This window comes from Homo sapiens, chromosome 14, assembly GCF_000001405.40.
Source record: "Homo sapiens chromosome 14, GRCh38.p14 Primary Assembly".
Lineage (NCBI taxonomy): Eukaryota > Metazoa > Chordata > Mammalia > Primates > Hominidae > Homo > Homo sapiens.
The window spans coordinates 47,295,635-47,314,143 of NC_000014.9; the positions used below are offsets into that span (position 1 = coordinate 47,295,635).

The 18,509-nt window shown below is 35.5% G+C and overlaps 1 protein-coding gene across 9 annotated transcripts in view, besides 1 other annotated feature; it reads right to left on the reverse strand.

Annotated features, from left to right (window-relative positions):
• The window catches only part of MDGA2 (MAM domain containing glycosylphosphatidylinositol anchor 2), an 835,983-nt gene that overhangs the window by 456,012 nt on the left and 361,462 nt on the right, over positions 1–18,509 (reverse strand). For 8 of the 9 annotated variants that reach the window (NR_103766.2, XM_011536519.3, NM_182830.4 and 5 more), the window contains exon 2: positions 5,777–5,916. Coding sequence is in view for 5 of the 9 variants with exons in the window: in XM_011536519.3 (XP_011534821.1) it covers positions 5,777–5,916 (140 nt within the window). In the remaining 4 variants the exon portion in view is untranslated. Of the gene's footprint in view, positions 1–5,776; positions 5,917–10,442; positions 10,509–18,509 lie in introns of all 9 variants that reach the window. The other variant, XM_047431049.1, reaches the window with a different exon arrangement.
• Positions 4,655–5,854: an enhancer, noted in NCBI's record as "BRD4-independent group 4 enhancer chr14:47769492-47770691 (GRCh37/hg19 assembly coordinates)". NCBI's record gives its function as "activates an origin of replication core promoter dependent on BRD2, P300/CBP, MED14 and CDK7 cofactors, and independent of BRD4, by STARR-seq in HCT116 cells {active_cell/tissue: HCT116}" and the evidence as "EXISTENCE:reporter gene assay evidence [ECO:0000049][PMID:35650434]".

Sequence of the window (18,509 nt, forward strand, 5' to 3'; positions counted from 1 at the left end):
GGCTCACAACTGTAATCCTAGCACTTTGGGAGGCTGAGGTGGGCGAATCACCCGAGGTCAGGAGTTTGAGACCAGCCTGGCCTACATGGGGAAACTGGGTCTTTATTAAAAATACAAAAATTATTAGGGGGTAGTGGTACGTGCCTGTAATCCCAGCTACTCAGTAGACTGAGGTGGGAGAATCACTTGAACCCAAGAGGCGGAGGTTGCAGTTAGCCGAGATTGTGCCACTTGCACTCAAGCCTGGACGACAGAGTGAGACTCTGTCTAAAAATATACATATATAGATAGATGATAAGATAGATAGATAGATAGATAGATAGATAGATAGATAGATAGATAGATATAGTAAAGCTGTAGAAGTTAAAATGGAATTGGTACAGAAAAGAATAACAGTAAGGTGCAGACTAATGTAATTTTGCTAATGCTAAAAATATCATTTTGAAGCTGTGCAGTGGAATATTGACCATCTTGTTTGTATAAGGGCAAGAGGGAAAGAGAGAGAAGAAAAAGACAAAGAGAACACTAGACTAACACTTCATACTAAGGACAAAATGATTTCCTGATGATTAAATTGTCAAATACATAAATGACTTTAAGCTGTTAGAAAAAAAAATGGATATAAGGAGATCTTGCTAAAGTAGCTACAAAACTCAGAAGCCAAAAACAATTCATCTTTTAAAAACAAAAACTTGAGAACAAAAGTATCTTAAACAATCTTAAAACACAAGTAACACACTGGGAGGTGCAATTGGCAACATGTTTATCAGCAATTGAATTTATTTACGTAGTATATTTGTCGTCACAAGTCTACAAGAAGATAAGCAGCAAACTAGTAAGAAAAGAGAAGATAAACAGCAACCAGTAAATAGAGATGTACAAGTGACTGATAAACATGTGGGAAAATGTTCAAATTGGCTAGTGATTTAAAATGCAAATTTAAACTACAATAGAGTGTAATTTACTTTCTTGAATCAAATTGACAAAAATAAAAAAAATACACTGCCGTTGAGAAAGCAAGTAACAGGTCCCTTTCAACTTTGGCTAAATAATTCCATTTTGAGGAAGGAAACTATGCTACAGCAATGCTACCATACATTTCACAAAGATGTACATACAGGCAACACAAACATATACCCTACAAGTATTCATTGGATTGTTTATAACAGTGACCATCTGTAAGTAATTTCATGATGAAGGACACAGCAGCAATTATACACATTTGAGAGTACTCACAGCAAAACTCAGTGCACCCATACAAAGAACTATTCAGCCTGAGTGAAGACAATGATCCAGGCCACTGGTTCAAACTTTAGTGGACATCAGATTCACTTGGAGGGCTTGCTAAAACATGAATTGCTGGCCCCAATGCAGGGGTTTCTAATGTGAAGGGATCTGAGAATCTTCATTTTTAATCAATTATCTCCAGAAACCACATATTAAGAACTACCAGCCTTGACCCATACTTGGTGTTTTGGACACATGGCCAAGTGAAAAATTCTAGTCATAGAATAATACTTTTCATTATCTCACTTATTAAAAATGGAACATGAACATAAATAATTACATTTAAGGAAATGCAACGAACGAGAACTGAAAGGTGATATGCCAAACTATTTAATATCTACTGCTGGGAAGGAGGGCAGGTAGGAGTGAGAAGAGAAACATTTATGTTAAATATCCTACTGTTTAAGTCATTTACAAGAAGACTATATTTATAATGTATTTAAATTATTGACGTGACAATTTTGAGAGAGAAAGAAGAAAGAGGAAGGGAGGGGAGGAGAGGGGAGTGGAGGGGAGTGAAGGGAAGGGAAGGGGAGTGGAGGGGAGTGAAGGGAAGGGGAGTGGAGGGGTGTGAAGGGAAGGGAAGGGAAGGGAAGGGGCAGGGAGGTTAGGAGGGGGGCAGGGAAGGAAAGAAAAAGGGTAGCTGAATCCTGAAGCTGTAGACATCTAGAGTTTGTACTAGATTGTTAGATTTACTGGCAAACCCTTACTTTCTTTCTTTCTTACTTCTTCATGCATCTTTGTAATAAACCCTCATTAAACGAGGTAGTCTGAACATAGTTCTATTCCTTGCAAGCTAAAAAGGCTAATTAACAGAGATGTAAAGGCTATGCAGAGCAATAAAACACAACAAATACTGAAATTGATTTAAATGCATGTAATTTAAAGCAGGATATAGGAATGCTAAAACCATTTTTAAAATCTACTTATTTTCATACCTACACATCCAAATCTAGATCTTAGAGCTGATGGTCCTAAATTACTGAAAAATAATAAAGCCAACATATGTTTCTATTACATGCTGACATAATGCTTATGTACCAAGAATGTATAGTTGTATTTGTATGTGTGTGTTTGTATATATATGAATATGTGTATATATACACACACAGAATATATGTGTGTATATATATCCATAATATAAATTTAACTCTCAAAAGGATTCTATGATATAAGATAGTTATTATCATCCCTAATATATAAAAAAGAAAACTGAGGCACAGAAAGCTGGGAGATTACGGAACTTTTCCAAGGTCACACTGTTAGTCCTGGTGGAGCCAGGGTTACATCCAGACAATCTGATTCCAGCATCATGCTCTTAACCATTGCATCGTACTGACCTCTCCTTCACTTGTTTCATTTTCTTTGGATACATCAATACTCTCAGGCCACTACCCATCACTAAACAATATACCATAAAAAAAATTAAAGAGGCTAGAAAAAATGCTGTTTACAATACTTTTGGAAATAAACAATCTTTATGACTCTTACTGCTACAAGAATAGGCAGCAGATTAAGAAATCTGCTGATGAGTGAATGAGGAACCTCTCTCTTCCACTGCATTTCCAACTATTATTATACTCAGATTAGACCAAGCGAGAAAGTCATTCCAGCTTTCTCATATCAGCCAAGAAAAATCATCCTCAGGACCAGCTGCCAACAGCATTGCCCTTTAGACTTTGGCCGGGATGCCAGGGCCCAGGTGTTCTGTCAGCTTTCCTTATACAGTTTGTTGACAATGAAGAGGCCCACTTAATTTTTCTTTTTTTTTTTTTTTTTTTGAGACAGAGTCTCGTTCTGTCGCCCAGGCTGGAGTGCAGTGGCACGATCTCGGCTCACTGCAAGCTCCGCCTCCCAGGTTCACGCCATTCTCCTGCCTCAGCCTCCTGAGTAGCTGGGACTACAGGCACCCGCGACCACGTCCGGCTAATTTTTTTTGCATTTTTAGTAGAGACAGGGTTTCACCACGTTAGCCAGGATGGTCTCGATCTCCTGACCTCGTGATCCGCCCGCCTTGGCCTCCTAAAGTGCTGGGATTACAGGCGTGAGCCACCGCGCCCAGCCGCCCAGTTAATTTTTCAATGGGCAATATAAGCTGAAACTGATTCACCTGCAAACACCTTAATTACTTCTAGGAATAAAAAAATATTGATACCAAAACAATACATTTTTCTTAGGATCAAAACACCTTGAAATGTTTCCAAAAAATGGAATTGCTTAGGAAAAAAATAAAAATGCATGATCTACTTTGTTTCAGAACCTAATCTGGTTTGTCTAGAGGTCAAAGTTTGTACTCCTGATTGTGAATGATAAAAAGGGAAAATGTATGGATAAAATGGGAAATTTCTAATATTAAGGGGACAGGAGGATGGAGAGAGAGGCAGCAGAGCAACACCTGGGGTATGTTAGAAACAGAGATAAGAAGTTGCATTTTAAAATATAATTTGGAGTTCAGAAGGTGTAAATTTAGTACACTCTTTGTGGGACTAATGGGAACCTCAATGAGTCTTCTCTTGCCATAAACTGCCTCTCATAAAGCTCTTCAAGGCTTCTTTTGGATGTGTTTAGACCCTCCTGTTTAGATCCCAACTTTTGATTCTGAAATTTCTATTCCATGTCTACAAAACAAAAAATATAATCAAATTATAACAACACTATATTTTCCTTGAGTTAATATTATCTTGAATTAAGTCTATCATTGTTTAAATTTTTGGTAACATTATTTTCACTGGACTTCATTGTTTTCTGTATAAATTTTAAAATGAAAATGTTTCACATATCCATTTCCTTGTTTCAATTTTTAACAATTATCAGTCATCAGTCTGTCCTTGTATGTTGTCTTTTGGAATCTTTTTTTTCTATCAAGCGTAATTATCCTGGCTCAAATTGTGTTTCTCTAAATTTCATTATGACAATTTTATTCTTTAATCCATTTTCAGTTAATAGCAAATGTTATACTTTGAAATTTTAGTTATCGTGAGTTTTCCTTTTTCAACATTTTTAATAATTATTCTTTCAGATTACTTTTGTTCTTTTTCATTTTACCAACAGCATGAGTTTTATTAAACATATTTTACCATTTCTGTTTTAGCCATAGTCTTATCTATTTAATGCTTCATTCTGTGATGCTTTATATGCCTATTTTTATCATTTCAGAGTCAAAATGGTAAATAAAAAGATACTTAAGGATCCGTCAGTAAGAGTTAAGAATGGCAGAAGTTAAAAACAGGGTTAAAATGGTGAGTTCATAAAATCTCCACATTACTTTTCGCTTTTCCCTCTGTAGCTTTGTTAGCTGGATTTCTTTTTTCCTGTAACACAAATACTTAAAATATGTAATTTTGTCTACTGAGTGAAACTATTTTTCCTACCATAGTGCTTGTGTTGATTACAAATGTGAATTTTGAGCTAGTAAGGTCATTGACAATAAGAATTATCAATTATTGAGTAAAACATCCTCAATATTCTGCATCTAAATTAGATTGTTGCATCATATATATATAACCTAAACATATTATCTTCTATATAACTGTTTCTTTTGTTCCTACAAATTTTTTATTCTTTTTTTTTTGGCTGTTGTTTGTTTGAGAAAGGGTCTCTCTCTGTTGCCCAGACTGGAGTGTGGTGGTACAATCATGACAACCTGCAGCCTTGACCTCCTGGGCTTAAGTGATCCTCCCACGTCAGCCTCCAGAGTAGCTGAGACTACGGGTGTGCAACACCAGGCCCAGATAATTTTTTAATTTTTTTTTTTTTTTGTAGAGACACAGTCTCCTTTTGTTGCCCAGGCTGGTCGCCAACTTCTGGCCTCAAATGATCCCCTTGCCTCAGCCTCACAAAGTGCTGAGGTTGTAAGCGTGAGCCACCACACCTGGGCTTTGCCTTTGCATATTGTAATTTTAGTGCCCTTTAAAAGTCTCCATTTTTATTGCTTCTATTAAATTAGTTTAAGAAAGCTGTGGATGACGATTCTGAAGGCCTGAGTGCATACAGTATCTGCAACTGTTTGTTTTTCAAGGTTTTCTATGAATAAAATGACAAGGAGTAAGAAAAGTATGTGTGACCTCATGCTTCACATTCTTCAGAACAAATACCTCTCGGTTGCAATTATGTCATCATGAAATCATGTTCCACGTTTTAAAATAAACTCATTGCCATATGAATTGTTATCCTACTGAGATATTTTTGTAGTTGTCTGTTTAACAGCTTCCTTAGAAGTGTCTTCTACATTTCCCACAATACCAAAACAAAAATTTCTTTTTTCATCTTATACAAAAGAATAGCTCAAGTTTGAATGTTCCGAAATCCACACTCTTGTCCTGCGTTGCACATATACTTGCACTTGAGTTACACACACACACACCCACACCCACCCACACACACACACACACACACACACAGTTTTAGCTAAATATTCTAAAATATACACTTTTTGACTTCTGAGAAAAGTCAGAGAATGTTTTCTCCAGTGTCACAGTTCGGGACTCACCTGTGGACGTGGATGTCCTGTGACTAGACAAGTCAACTCAAGGGTTTCTCCTTCCCGGATAGTGTAGACCCTTTCGGAGTAGCGCTCCTCTTCAATGTTACAGGCCAAGCCTGAGTGCACAATACGAACCGTGGGAGGAGCTGTCGAGTCAGGAAGAAGAGAGACAAGATACATGAAAAGGTAAGTCAGTGATCTTCTCATGAACCATCTTGACTATAAAAGCAATTCTTATTAGACTTCACCATAGTCAGATTAGTCAGATTCATCAGTCTTAACACCTCCCCAAGGCATTAAAGATTTTGCTGGAAGAAATCTTCAAATTTATCTAACAGTGACCAACACATTTCCAGGGGAACAAGGTAGTGGAAGAACCTCAGGAAATCACCATCAATACAAGACCACAAGATAAAATTTGATTGTTAAAATGTGAGAAGGTCCCTTCCTTTCTGAGTTCAAATTTTAACATAGTAAGGAATATTGCACCAAAAATATGTAGTGCAAAAGAAAGAAGACAATTGGAGGAGAAAAGGGAATTTGAATGGAAGACATTGACATTTGTCTGTTAATTATTTAAGTCATGTAGCGCGCAAGTTAATAAGCTCACGAATAAGATGATTTGGTTTTCAGGAAGTGAAAACCAACTTAATTTACCATACTTATAGACATCTGTATTGATGTAAACAAAGTATGATTCTTGATTAAGCCATGGAAGAAGACAATATACCATTGTCGCCTGAGTCTAAAATTCTGATTCAAAAGAAACTTCATTAGCATAAAGCTGCCCAAATTTCTAAATATAATTTTCTCCTACTTCAGTGCCAAGGGGCCAGTAAAATTTAACTAACACTCCTTGACTTACACATCGTTGGGGACAACTACATGGAAACTTTCTGTGAGTCATGAGAGAAGTACTTAGCTAATAAGATATGCTGCTTGCCATCAAGTAAATTATTGACAGCTACTAGCTTCAAATTGGAGATCAATTCCTTTTGTGAACTAAGCATTTTTGTTTGTCATACATTTGGGAGTGAAAGAGAATGATCATTTCAGTTAAAGGCAAGTGGAAAGGTTATATCTTCATGTAAAGGACAGTGATCTCAAGAATTTCCTGATAGATATCTTCAACCTAAACAGTAGTATTACTAGCAGAGGTTGTGATTGCTTAAAAATTAACGCCAGTGCCAGCATATTAGGAATGTTTTATCTAACATTAAAGACAATGAATCTTATAGAATTTTAAAATAAATTTGGTGATTCTATGGAAGAAAAAAAGATTATAAGGCCAACTCATGAAAAAAATCATTCTGGGAAAAGCTGTGTTCTGAAAGTAAAATAGAATAGTTTTCAATATCTACTATTTTGTTTTATATAACATAAATGCACAGTCTACCCATAGAGCTTAATAATTGACATCAGGTTGTATTTCATTATCTTTCTCAATTTCAGGCAGAAACTGGAAGATGGAAAAGACCGCTTATGATTAATAAAACAACTGGTTATGTCCAGCTCTTTCTAGGTACCAAAGCATAATCCTGTTACTCAACCTTGAAACTCAGAACCCTGCTTTCCAATATCCATCATCAAAATGATGGGTAAAAGTTTCCAATAGTAGAATAAGAACAAAACAGTACTTCTAGAAAAGTGGTCTTGACATTAAATACGCATAATAAACACCCCTCAAGAACTTGTTAAAAATACAAATTTCAAAGGTGTTCAGAGACCTGATATATCTGCAGGAATCCCCAGGAATCTGCATTTTTACCAAACACTCAGATAGCTGCAATGACAGAGCTAGTTAGACTAGGTTCTGGGTATTATATTCGTTGGCTAAAGAAAAATACTCCAAGGAATAAAATATCCTTTTCCTTTGTCTTTTTAAAGTAACTAAACTTTCTGCTATGCATCATTTTATCTGATTTGAAAAATTAAATGATGCTTAAGTCAAATGTCCAGCTTGGTCTATAAAACCAATTTATTAAAAATTTTCCATCATGTCTCTGGACTCTGTCTAGACATTGTAATAATTCGTTTGGTTTTATGACATTAGAAATCCTTATCTTTGGTGTTTCTCTTAGTGCTCTGATATGTTTCACACCACATTTCCTACAAATCATTTCAGGCAGTGATCAAATTTGGACTTCAATTTAGATAAGTAATACTAGTGAAGTACTTATTTTTAGGCATCTGTCTAATATAGTCATATCCATATTATAGAGGTTAACGAATTGATGAAAATCTATAAATGCTTGCAAAATAAAATAAAATAAATGTTCAATAGAAAATACAGATCTATTATCTTAAAATATATTTCCATGCTAACTTTAGCTTCATATGTGATAGTGATAGCCCACGTTTATTAATATATCTAATTATATAGTGACATGACATCCTTTCCAGACTAATTTACACTTGTTATTTTTGTTTTAATTTCAAATCAATGCTTAGTATTGTTATTTTTAAGGTATATCTTTCAAAAACATCATTATGCAAATAAGTAGCTTTATTTAAACCACTTAAATTATACAGTAAGCACACTGTGACATTTACAAGGGTTAATTTTCTGCTATTTTTCTTCTATATTATAACACATTCTTGGAAAAGGTAATTGCCTGCATACTGCAGTCATCATGAACCTACCACCTATCCTGTAGGAGGGTGGAATATTTCATCAAATTTTAAGTGTGGAAGTTGTCTTCCTTTTAGTATTCATCAAAATATGTGCTCAATATTTTAGCTGCTCAACGATAATGAGAGTATTTTGGAAGCTTCCCTTAATTCTTTTATGTGCACAAAGCTCACTTGAAAGGACCTTAGAGTTCATATAGGTCAGCACTCTTATTTCCCGATTAGGAAAGAAAAGCCTGAGGACATCAAATGACTTTGTCACAATCCTGTGGCTAGTTGTGGCTAAACGAGACCAAAGCCACTGGCCTATTGTTCTTTTCATTACTTGATGCTGTCTATTTAAACTATGTCTGTCATAGTTAAATTAGTGTTCTAAATAACTCCCAAACTAGACCCAGACCTAGACTAGGCTAGGGGTATAAAAAACTATTGAGAAACCATTAATAAAGCAGTTAGAGCACCATAAACTAGATTAAGAATGTAAGTAGCAGAATTGCTCCAAACTTAACCAAACTTCACAATAGAATGTTGTCCCAGTTCATCATCCTACCTCCAGTACCTGCCAAATCCATGACATTTCACAATGATCAAAATAGTATTTTGAAATTTCTATTTACATTATGTTGTTTCTCTGCTTAAGAACCTACAATATCTCCCTATGACATTTCATAGAGTCCTAATCGCTGTGCATGGGTGGCATTTAGGCCCTCTGTCAAGGGTCCTCATGCTTACCATCCAACTAAAAGTCCCATTTCTCTGTAATATCAGGCTATCCTCAGTGAGAATGCAAAGAACCCTGAGATTTTAAGTGTCTTTGCTTATAATGTTCTCCCATCTAAGATTCCCATACCAATAATTGGACCCATGTTCCTGATACCTTCTTGGATTACTTATAAATGATTATCTTCTCTTTTCTTCCATGAGGTATGTATTTATTGCTTTGTGATTTTCCTTTCTCTCCACATTCAAACACGATAGTAAGCATCTCAGTGCCAGACTGAGCATCATTTTTGGCATCATCCCCATATCACATAATTCACAGCACAGAGGAGGTATTTATTTACTAATTGAGTTTTAGTTTCTATTTTAGCAACTATCACTATAATGACATCAACTTCTTACTTTAGCAAAATATCAACTATTATGGCAGTGCATTTGCTTACTTTAAATATAAATGCAATTTGCAGTTTTATACCTGAAGCAAGACATCTCTGATCCTCTGCCTTGTTGGTAAAAAACCTCAATTCATCATCCTTAAATTGGACTAAGGGTTAAGATCTCCTTTGCCCTGTAGAGTCAGCAATGAATTACAATGTTAAAATATTGCATGAGACTCATATTCATCCAAATTTTCTTGAAGTAAACCAAATTTCATTATGTAAAATCTTTCCTAACACTAATCATATCAACTGTCTTAATCCGAGGACATTTTGGCTTTGGGTTGAAGAGGTCAGCCTAAAAGGGCAAAAGAGAGACATTCTTTTATCTTGTTAGAATATACTTTTGAAAGTTAAACCAAATTCACTCTGGAGAAATAGTACAAATAAATTATTCTACAATGGCAACAACCAGGGGCATTTTAATCCTTTCACCTCATATATAGACTTTCAAGCGTATATTTATTGAGCAGCTGCTATAGCAGGCATGAGACTCTGTGCTGGGGATATGATGATTAATGCCATGAGCTGCACCTGCTAAAGGCTTACAGCCTACTGGGTTTGTCTAAATTATTTAAAATTATATGATAATTGAATAGGATAGACACTCTAACAGAAGAAAATGAAAAGTACTAAACAAAGACAAAGCAGACGATAGCTAAATCTGCCTGGGGGAGTCTAACAAGTTTCGCAAAGTCAGTGACATTTAACCTAAGTTTGGAGAGATGCTCTTGGGAGCAAAAGAGGAAGGAGATTTCAGAGAGAGAAAACAGTGTGCTCAAAGGCAAATCTGAAATATGCCTTTGTAATATGCCAGTGTCTATTGTGTTTCTGAAATAACCATGTAAAAATGTATCCCCTGTAGTTTATCATTTACTCCATACCTTGCCACTGTACAGCCTTATCAGCTTGCCACTATGTCTCAGACATAGGAGAGACACTGGAGAGGCCTGGGAATGGATAATGGAGGAGAGATGCATTTTAGAGGTCTTGTTAGAAAGGACATGACAATTAACTGAATCTGAGGGTGAGGGAAAGAGTTAAGATGACACTGAAGTTTATACCCTGACTAGGTGAAAGATGACAATTTTTTATTTTAATAGGAGATAGTTTCTTGATCGCCATGGAACTCACATTACCCACCGTTGGGGGAATCTTGAGATGAGGGGCCCTAAGCCCAATTCATTGGGGGTGGAGGGTTGTTGGCATGAGGGCTTAGATGAGAAATGTTTCTGATGAAGAAACTTTTTTCAGTAATGGCGATGCTTCCTGAAAAACGTGCTGCTAATCAGGCATTTATGGTTTTATTTATGGTTTTGGTACAAGGAGCTTCCTCTCTGCTAAGAGCTTCAAGTAAGAGCCTGGTTTTTTAGTTAAATCTCTCAAATCCCTCACGCAGCTATTCTCTGGGAATTCAAGTTGCCACTGGCATGTTGCTACTCTTCCACACTAGGTCAATGTAACTTATGTTCTTGGTTAAGGTAACAGATCTGTTTAGTTAAGTAGTGTGGAGAGAAGGATGTTCACTGGTCCCTCTCCTAGAACCTCTAGTGAACAGCTCAGCAAACCATGCTGTGCCAGCATTACTCATGTACTATTGATATTTTGAAGACAGACAGAGAGATAGAGAGACAGAGAAAGAGAAAGAGGGAGAGAGAGAGAGAGAGAGAGAGAGAGGCAGATAGACAGATAGAGACAGACAGACAGCCTATACCTTACTGTTCTCACATGGCCAAGAGTCAGTATGTATTACTTATACCATTCTCTTAGCTGTCATTCTGTTTTGCTTGTAAAGCAAACATAACAATAATCAAACTTTCTTCCCAGCTTTCTATTGATTTAAGTGATCATACGCTTTCATAAAACACTTCTCAGTTTTCTACAACATGTTACATTTAGCTAATCAGCATTGTCAATGATTGGTTTCTTCTGTTTATCTCAAAATGTTCAATGTAGCACGTGTATAGTACTTCAAGGATATGGTGGCTTCCATTCTTTTCTTTCCTATCTGAGTTTCTGGTTTAATATATTACATGAGATCTCCCCCACCTCCCTTTTTCACAATGATATTCTAAACTGATTTTTATATATTTTTTGTGCATACAGTCCTAGTCCATATTACTCCTGTTGTTGACAACTCCATTGCCTAACATCTTCCTCATTAGCCTAGTTACATTACATGTTTTATTATCAAAAAATTTGACAGGGCCAGCTGTGGTGGCTTATGCCTGTAATCCCAGGACTTTGGGAGTCCGAGGCAGGCAGATCACCTGAGGTCAGGAGTTTGAGACCAGCCTGGCTAACATGGTGAAACCCAGTCTCTACTGGAAATACAAAAATTAGCCAGGTGTGGTGGTGGGTGCCTGTAGTCCTAGCTACTTGGGAGGCTGAAGCAGGAGAATTGCTTGAACCCAGGAGGCGGAGGTTGCAGTGAGACAAGATCCGAGATCTTGTCACTGCACTCCAGCCTAGGTGACAGAGAGATACTCTGTGGGGGGGAAAAAAAAAGGCAGGAAAAAAATATGAAGATTTGAAGAAGAAGGTGGAGAATTCAGTTTTGGATGCTGATGGTGAGTTCACCAATAGTTGACAAGTTGTTGCTGGACATTAAGTTTTAGAGCTTTCAATGGTAGTTGATGCTACATAGAATAGAGGAGAGTTCTATAGGAGAGCATGTAGAGTGAGAATAAGTTATGATAGAACCATGATAAATATGTATTCTTAACTAGAGAAGCTAAAGAAAGAGACTTAGTGCGATTATAAAGTCAGAGAGGTAGAAGGAGAACAAAGAAAATGAGGTGCTTTAGAAGTTACATAAGTAGACAGCCGAGCACAGTGGACTGTCCAAAAATATTACATACCATGGAGTTGTCAGTTAGGAGCAGCACAGACAAAAGGTCATTGCCTTTGGGAATTAAGGCAGCATTAGTGAATTTTGACTGAGCAATGGCTGCAGAGAATTGGAGTCAAAAGATGAACGATGTGTGGTTTGACTGAGGAAAAAGATCTCAGTAGGTCAAATCAAGCTTGAAGCAAATAGTAAAACCGCTATTTAGGCTTACTCATATGTAAAAAGGAGTGATAAGTGAAAAACTGAATATTTCAACAATATTGTACCAGCATTTTAGGACTGCAAAGAATAATTACTTTAATCATAAGAAACAACAACTCATCATGTTTGTACTTCTAGCACAACTGCAACTTTTTGCCACTACAATATTATTTTCTAGTATCCTTCCACATTCTTAAAAAATAAATTTCTCTAAAAGGCCACTTTCTTTCTTTTCTTTTTTCCCTCTCTTTCTGTTAGTTTTTTTTTTTTTTTTTTTTACAAATTCAACTCTGTCAACTTCAGGACCACATATGAGGGAATCTCTCAAAGCTGTTTAATATCTTCTGTAAAACAATCAAGGCTAATCCTCACAGCATTTAAATATGCTACAGCATATAAATAAGCTTAGTGTGTCCCATTAAAAAAAAAAACAGAGACAAAAGAGCAACATTTATCCTCCCATCAACAGGACTCCTCTTGTCTTTCCTTTACTGTCTAGTGATTAGAAATAATGATAACACATTCACAGCCATCCTTGGCATGTGCTTTGCCCTCCTCTGTCTACTACAGTCTGGCTCTGCCTATCATTTGTATTTCTAAAAGAACAGGGCAGGAAAATAGAAGACCACTTTGGTAAATCGCTATTTCTTTTTTTGGTCATTATTGTGATCATTTGCTCTCCTTCAGCCTTAGCTTACTTGCTTTTACTTCTATGCAAAGATCTTTGAAATTACATACTTGTCCTATACTATAACACAATAAAGACTATTCTTTTATCCCACTGCCATACTCCCTGCACCCATGAACATAAACACATATCCAAACATGCACATAAGCTAAATGTTCAACTTGTATATCTATTCAATAATTTCTTCAAAAAATGGTTAAAATCTTTCTGTAATTGTCATTTATGTAATCCCAAATAGAAAAATATTCTGATACATAAACAACATATATATTATTTTAAGTCAGACTGCAGATCATTTTATTTGTTTGATTCCATTGGTTATTTTAAACTAACTACAATATCCACATCAATGTAAACTTATTTCTGCACTCCCTCTACCAACCTCCCACCGCCATGTTTGGTTAACATTGTATTCCTGTCCACTAGAGATAAATATTTTTTTGTCCTTAATTTGATGAGTTGTAAAGTGAAAGTAGTAAGATCCTATTGATATACTGGATTTAATCAAGAGAAGGTTATATCTTTCTCATATGACTTTAGTTGAAAGGCCTTGATTATTAAAGGTTTTTAATATTTTGTATTATTTCCTTAGTACATGTTGGGTAGCATTGTTATAAAGTAACTGAACCACTCTAAGAGACTTTACAAAGCCCAAAGTAAGGCAATTAAATTAAATCCAGAAGCTTCTGGCTTCAGATGGCAATTATTAACGTTTGCTAAATAATAAAAGTTGACATAATTTTTTAGGTTGATGTTAACCAAGAATTTAAAGAAAAAACTTTAAACATTTAATTTAAGTTAAATTTTAATTTAATTTGTTATTTAAAGTCAAATTACTTGTTTATGTGCAGTATATGGTATACTATTTTGAAAGACAGATGAAAGTTTGTCATCAAAAGAGAGCAATGACATTCAATAACAATTTAAACTTACATTAAATGTACATTAAATTTTAATGGTAAACAAAAAATAAATTATGTAATTTAAATTCTAATGGTAAGACAATGATAAAAAGCAATCATATTTTCTGTGTAAAAACTATCTTGTTTGACAAGTATTAACTTTATAAAAAATTGAATACAAAATTGCAAAATATTATTCTGAATTATCTTCCACAAAACAACAAGTGTCCTATTTTTTAAAACAAAGCAATATCAATTCTAAAAATGTTATTTCATGAAGATTTACACATTGGCAGCTTCAGATTTCATCAGGATTACCTTTATTTGTTTTCACCTAGAAGAGTTCCCTATTAGCATCTAAGCCTAAAACTTCAAAAACCCTTGCATGTTTTAGAGATGAAAAAAAAAGTTACACTGAATCTAAGGTTCATAACATTCTTTTCAAATACAGCATTTGACAACTTCTGACAAGTATGCCAGAGAAGAACCATGGGCCATCAAGTCTAGGCAGTCACGCATAGCCATCGGTCATCCATGTTCCCTGTCTCTACCTGGCTGTTCCCGCCCTAAGTCCCTCACTATGTTCTTCCCAGTAGATTTGACCTGAACCTGGGAGATATTTGAAAATCCATCAAATATCTAACTAATCTCATGTTGCTCAAACGACTTGTATAAACTAAGTGGAATACCCCAACTTGAAGGTAAATATTGTAGGGAACTAAGCTTTCCTCTTCTTTGGTATGAATGTAACATCACATAATGAATATATATATATATGTTCCTTTTTTTATATTGGATCCTATGCTACATCCTGAATTGTCTCCCACTAAAGGTTAAATTAGATATTTACCAAATCAGTAAATTTTAGACCAAAAACCCCATAAATATTCCAGAAATCTTGGCAACTAGGTCATAGAGTATAAAACAAACAAACAAACAAGAAAGCTGAGATAAAAACAATGGAGCTTACCTCTTGCCTTTATGGTACCACTTTTTATAGGTTTTGAAATTTGTACAAGAATATAGTAAAAGTGGGAGAGAAGCTATTATAACACTGCAGGAAAGGATGGCATTTAATCCTTAAAATCTTTGATCAGGTCTTTCCCTCCAAATCAAACTTGTGAAATGGCATCCTGTTAATAGTGTCAGAAGCCATATATCATGTGGGCAATGAACTCTTCAAGGTTCTTTGAACCAAATCTTCCTTGCCTCTTATAAATTATCACAGCACCTTAAGAGATCAGGACTCCTAAAGGCAGAGGTACTAATGACATCATTTTTAATCTCTGTAGACTGAAATGTATACTTAAATCCTTCTCTAAAATTAAGGGCTCTTCAGTTTTCTTGGAAACATCCACAAAGCCCCAGCAAATACTAACCAAAATGAAATTAGTCTTATCATTGTGCTCCAACCTTAAGCATAAATTGGGTAATTAGAGAGAGACGTTATTTCTTCCAGCCTAACTCATCAAGAAAACAAATAAAATTTACTGTGAAATATGACAACAATGAAAACTTCAATTTGCTTTTCCAAGAGTAGCAATAGTAGGCAGAGAATTGTGAGGATCTGGCCTGCCAATGTCCCCACTGTTTCTCTCCATTGAGAAATCACTGCCACTGCCTGTGACTAGCCCCATGGACAAGTTTCTTAGCCTGTCAAAAAAAAACATCTTGGATCCCAGGAGACAGAGATCAGTGAGATAATGGAACATACCCCAAGTCTGGCTCTTTTCTCCTTCTACAAAAGGCAGAAGAACAGTTTACCACAAGGTAGAAATGATTCAGACTCCACTGGGGCAATACCCTCATGGACTGTAAACTTAGTAAATATCAAGCACCTGTGTAATTCATGTTATTTTTTGATGATCTATAGTCCTCTCTAAAACCCTGAAGATCATGTGTTTTTTATTTCCATTTGAACAAAATTAATATCCCCAGTGAAGGTTTGTGAATTGCCAAAGCTTAGTTTTGATGCCAATTCTGCCTTATGCTAGAAACACATTTTGTGATTTTTTATATATATTATAATTTCATTTTACCCTGCTGCATTCCCATTTTTAAAAGTCTAGACATTCCTTTGTGTCTTTGGGGATTTGGGGAGCAAGAATAGAATACAGAAAAAGAAATATAAATAATTTATACTCTGATAAAAAAGATACTCTTATTAAGTTAATTGGTGCCATGAGAATCTAAAGTAAAAACATTTGTCTAAACCATACAATGTGAAACATAAGCAATTATTAGTACATATTACAATTCAGCTCCTAATTTTTAAAATATTAGGCTTTGACAATCTCATAGATTTATATATAGGAGCTGAATTATCCAAAATTTCTGCTCAAACAATTCAATTTTCATTTATTTGAGGATGGAGTTCTGAAATTCGCTCTGTAAGTATGTATCTCAGTGATTCACATATGTGGCAATGTGGCATGGTACTTCCCAGGAACCTTCTTATATCTGCCATCTTCCAGATTACCTGTAACCTCAGGCTCCCAGGGCTGAGCCTCACACTCTGGCCTCTCCACAAGCACTTTTACCATTTTGGCTTGCCATAGAGCAAGACCCTACTTTCAGTGGTAAAGAGAATATACTTCATTCTCCTGAATAAATTAATAAACACCTCTTCTAAGAAGTGTCATTAATAATGTTAGAGTTTGTTAATAAAATAAACAATATAGGAAATTTGCATTGTCATGACAGTCCTTTTTGTTTTTTAAGGCAGTGGCACCATCACAAATCACCGTAACCTGTAACCTTCTGAGCTGAAAGGATCTTCCCATCTCAACCTCCTGAGCAGCTAGGACTACAAGGTCATGCCACCATGCCCAGCTAGTTTTTAGTTTTTTTTTTGTTTTGTTTTGTTTTTTTTTTTTGTAGAGATAGGGTATTTCCATGCTGCCCAGGCTGGTCTTGAACTCCTAGCCTCATATGATCCTCCCACCTCTGCCTCCTGAAATGCTGGAATTTCAGGCATGAGCCACCATGCCTGGCCTATCACAGAACCTTAGAATCTTAATAATAATGGAAAATCAAATGGATGACTCACAACACTTAAATATACAAGATTTTTAAATTTAATTATATATATACATATATATATATATAAACCTATTTTCTCTAATACAAACTGCTAATTAATATTTCCCTGCCGTTTTTAAACTAATGAAGAAATATTAATACATAAAAAGTAACTAAGCATTATTTGTAGCCATACTCTCTCATTGTTAAATGTAAAATTATTTTGCTTAGATTCTCACACCAAAATTTGCACAACTTTAATTTTAAATGTTATCTTGGAAATTATTCTATTTTAACCCCGAAGAAGTGATGAGATCATGTTTTTGTTAGATGTCAAACCAAATAAGCTATTTAGACTTTAACTAATCTAAGCTGTAAAACACATGGATCGGTGCCTTTCAAAATGTACTTTCTTTTTATTTTACTTTTTAAAATAAGGTAAGGTCTGGCTCTGTCACTCAGGCTGGAATGGAGTGACACTACCTTGGCTCACTGCAGACTTAACCTCCCAGGCTCAAGCAATCCTCCCGCCTCAGCCTCCCAAGTAGCTGAGGACACAGGCACAAGCCACTATGACTGGCTAATTTCTTCTTCCTCTTTTGTTTTGTTTTGTTTTGTTTTGTAGAGATGGGGTCTCATTGTTATTACCCAGGCTGGTCTCAAACACTTGGGCTCAAGCAACTCTCCTGCCTCTGCCTCCCCATATACTGGGATTATAGGCATGAGCCACCATGCCCAACTCAAAATGTACTTTCAAAAACAAGTGGTCTATACATGTTCAATGTTGTTCTATCTAAATTATTTTAAAAGAAATTTACATAATTCAATAATTTGTTTTTGCCTGAGATATTAGTAAATGTAATAAGTAAAATAATGAATTGGTTACCCTAAAGCTGGAGTAAGTGTGAAGAAATATATACCTCCATACTTACTGGATGGAGTCAGTACAGTTGTGGGGGGAAGCAGTTTGTCAATGTTGATCCAAATATGAAATATACTTAACTTTTGGTCCATCTCTAAAAAAATTACTGTAAGACGACAAATTGCCAAAAGATACATATACAAGTATGCCCACCATAATATTTATATTGGGAGAAACTGTCAATAACAGCATATATGGAAAAATATACACTTGTAACTCCAAATATTACATTGGCATGGAAAAATATTGACATTATTTGATTTTTAAAAACACAGTTTGAGAAGAGTGTGAAGTGTATAGAGATTGAGTAAGCACTGTGGTTTTTCAGCAAGAGCTCTAAACTTAACTGTGTCACACTGGGCAAAT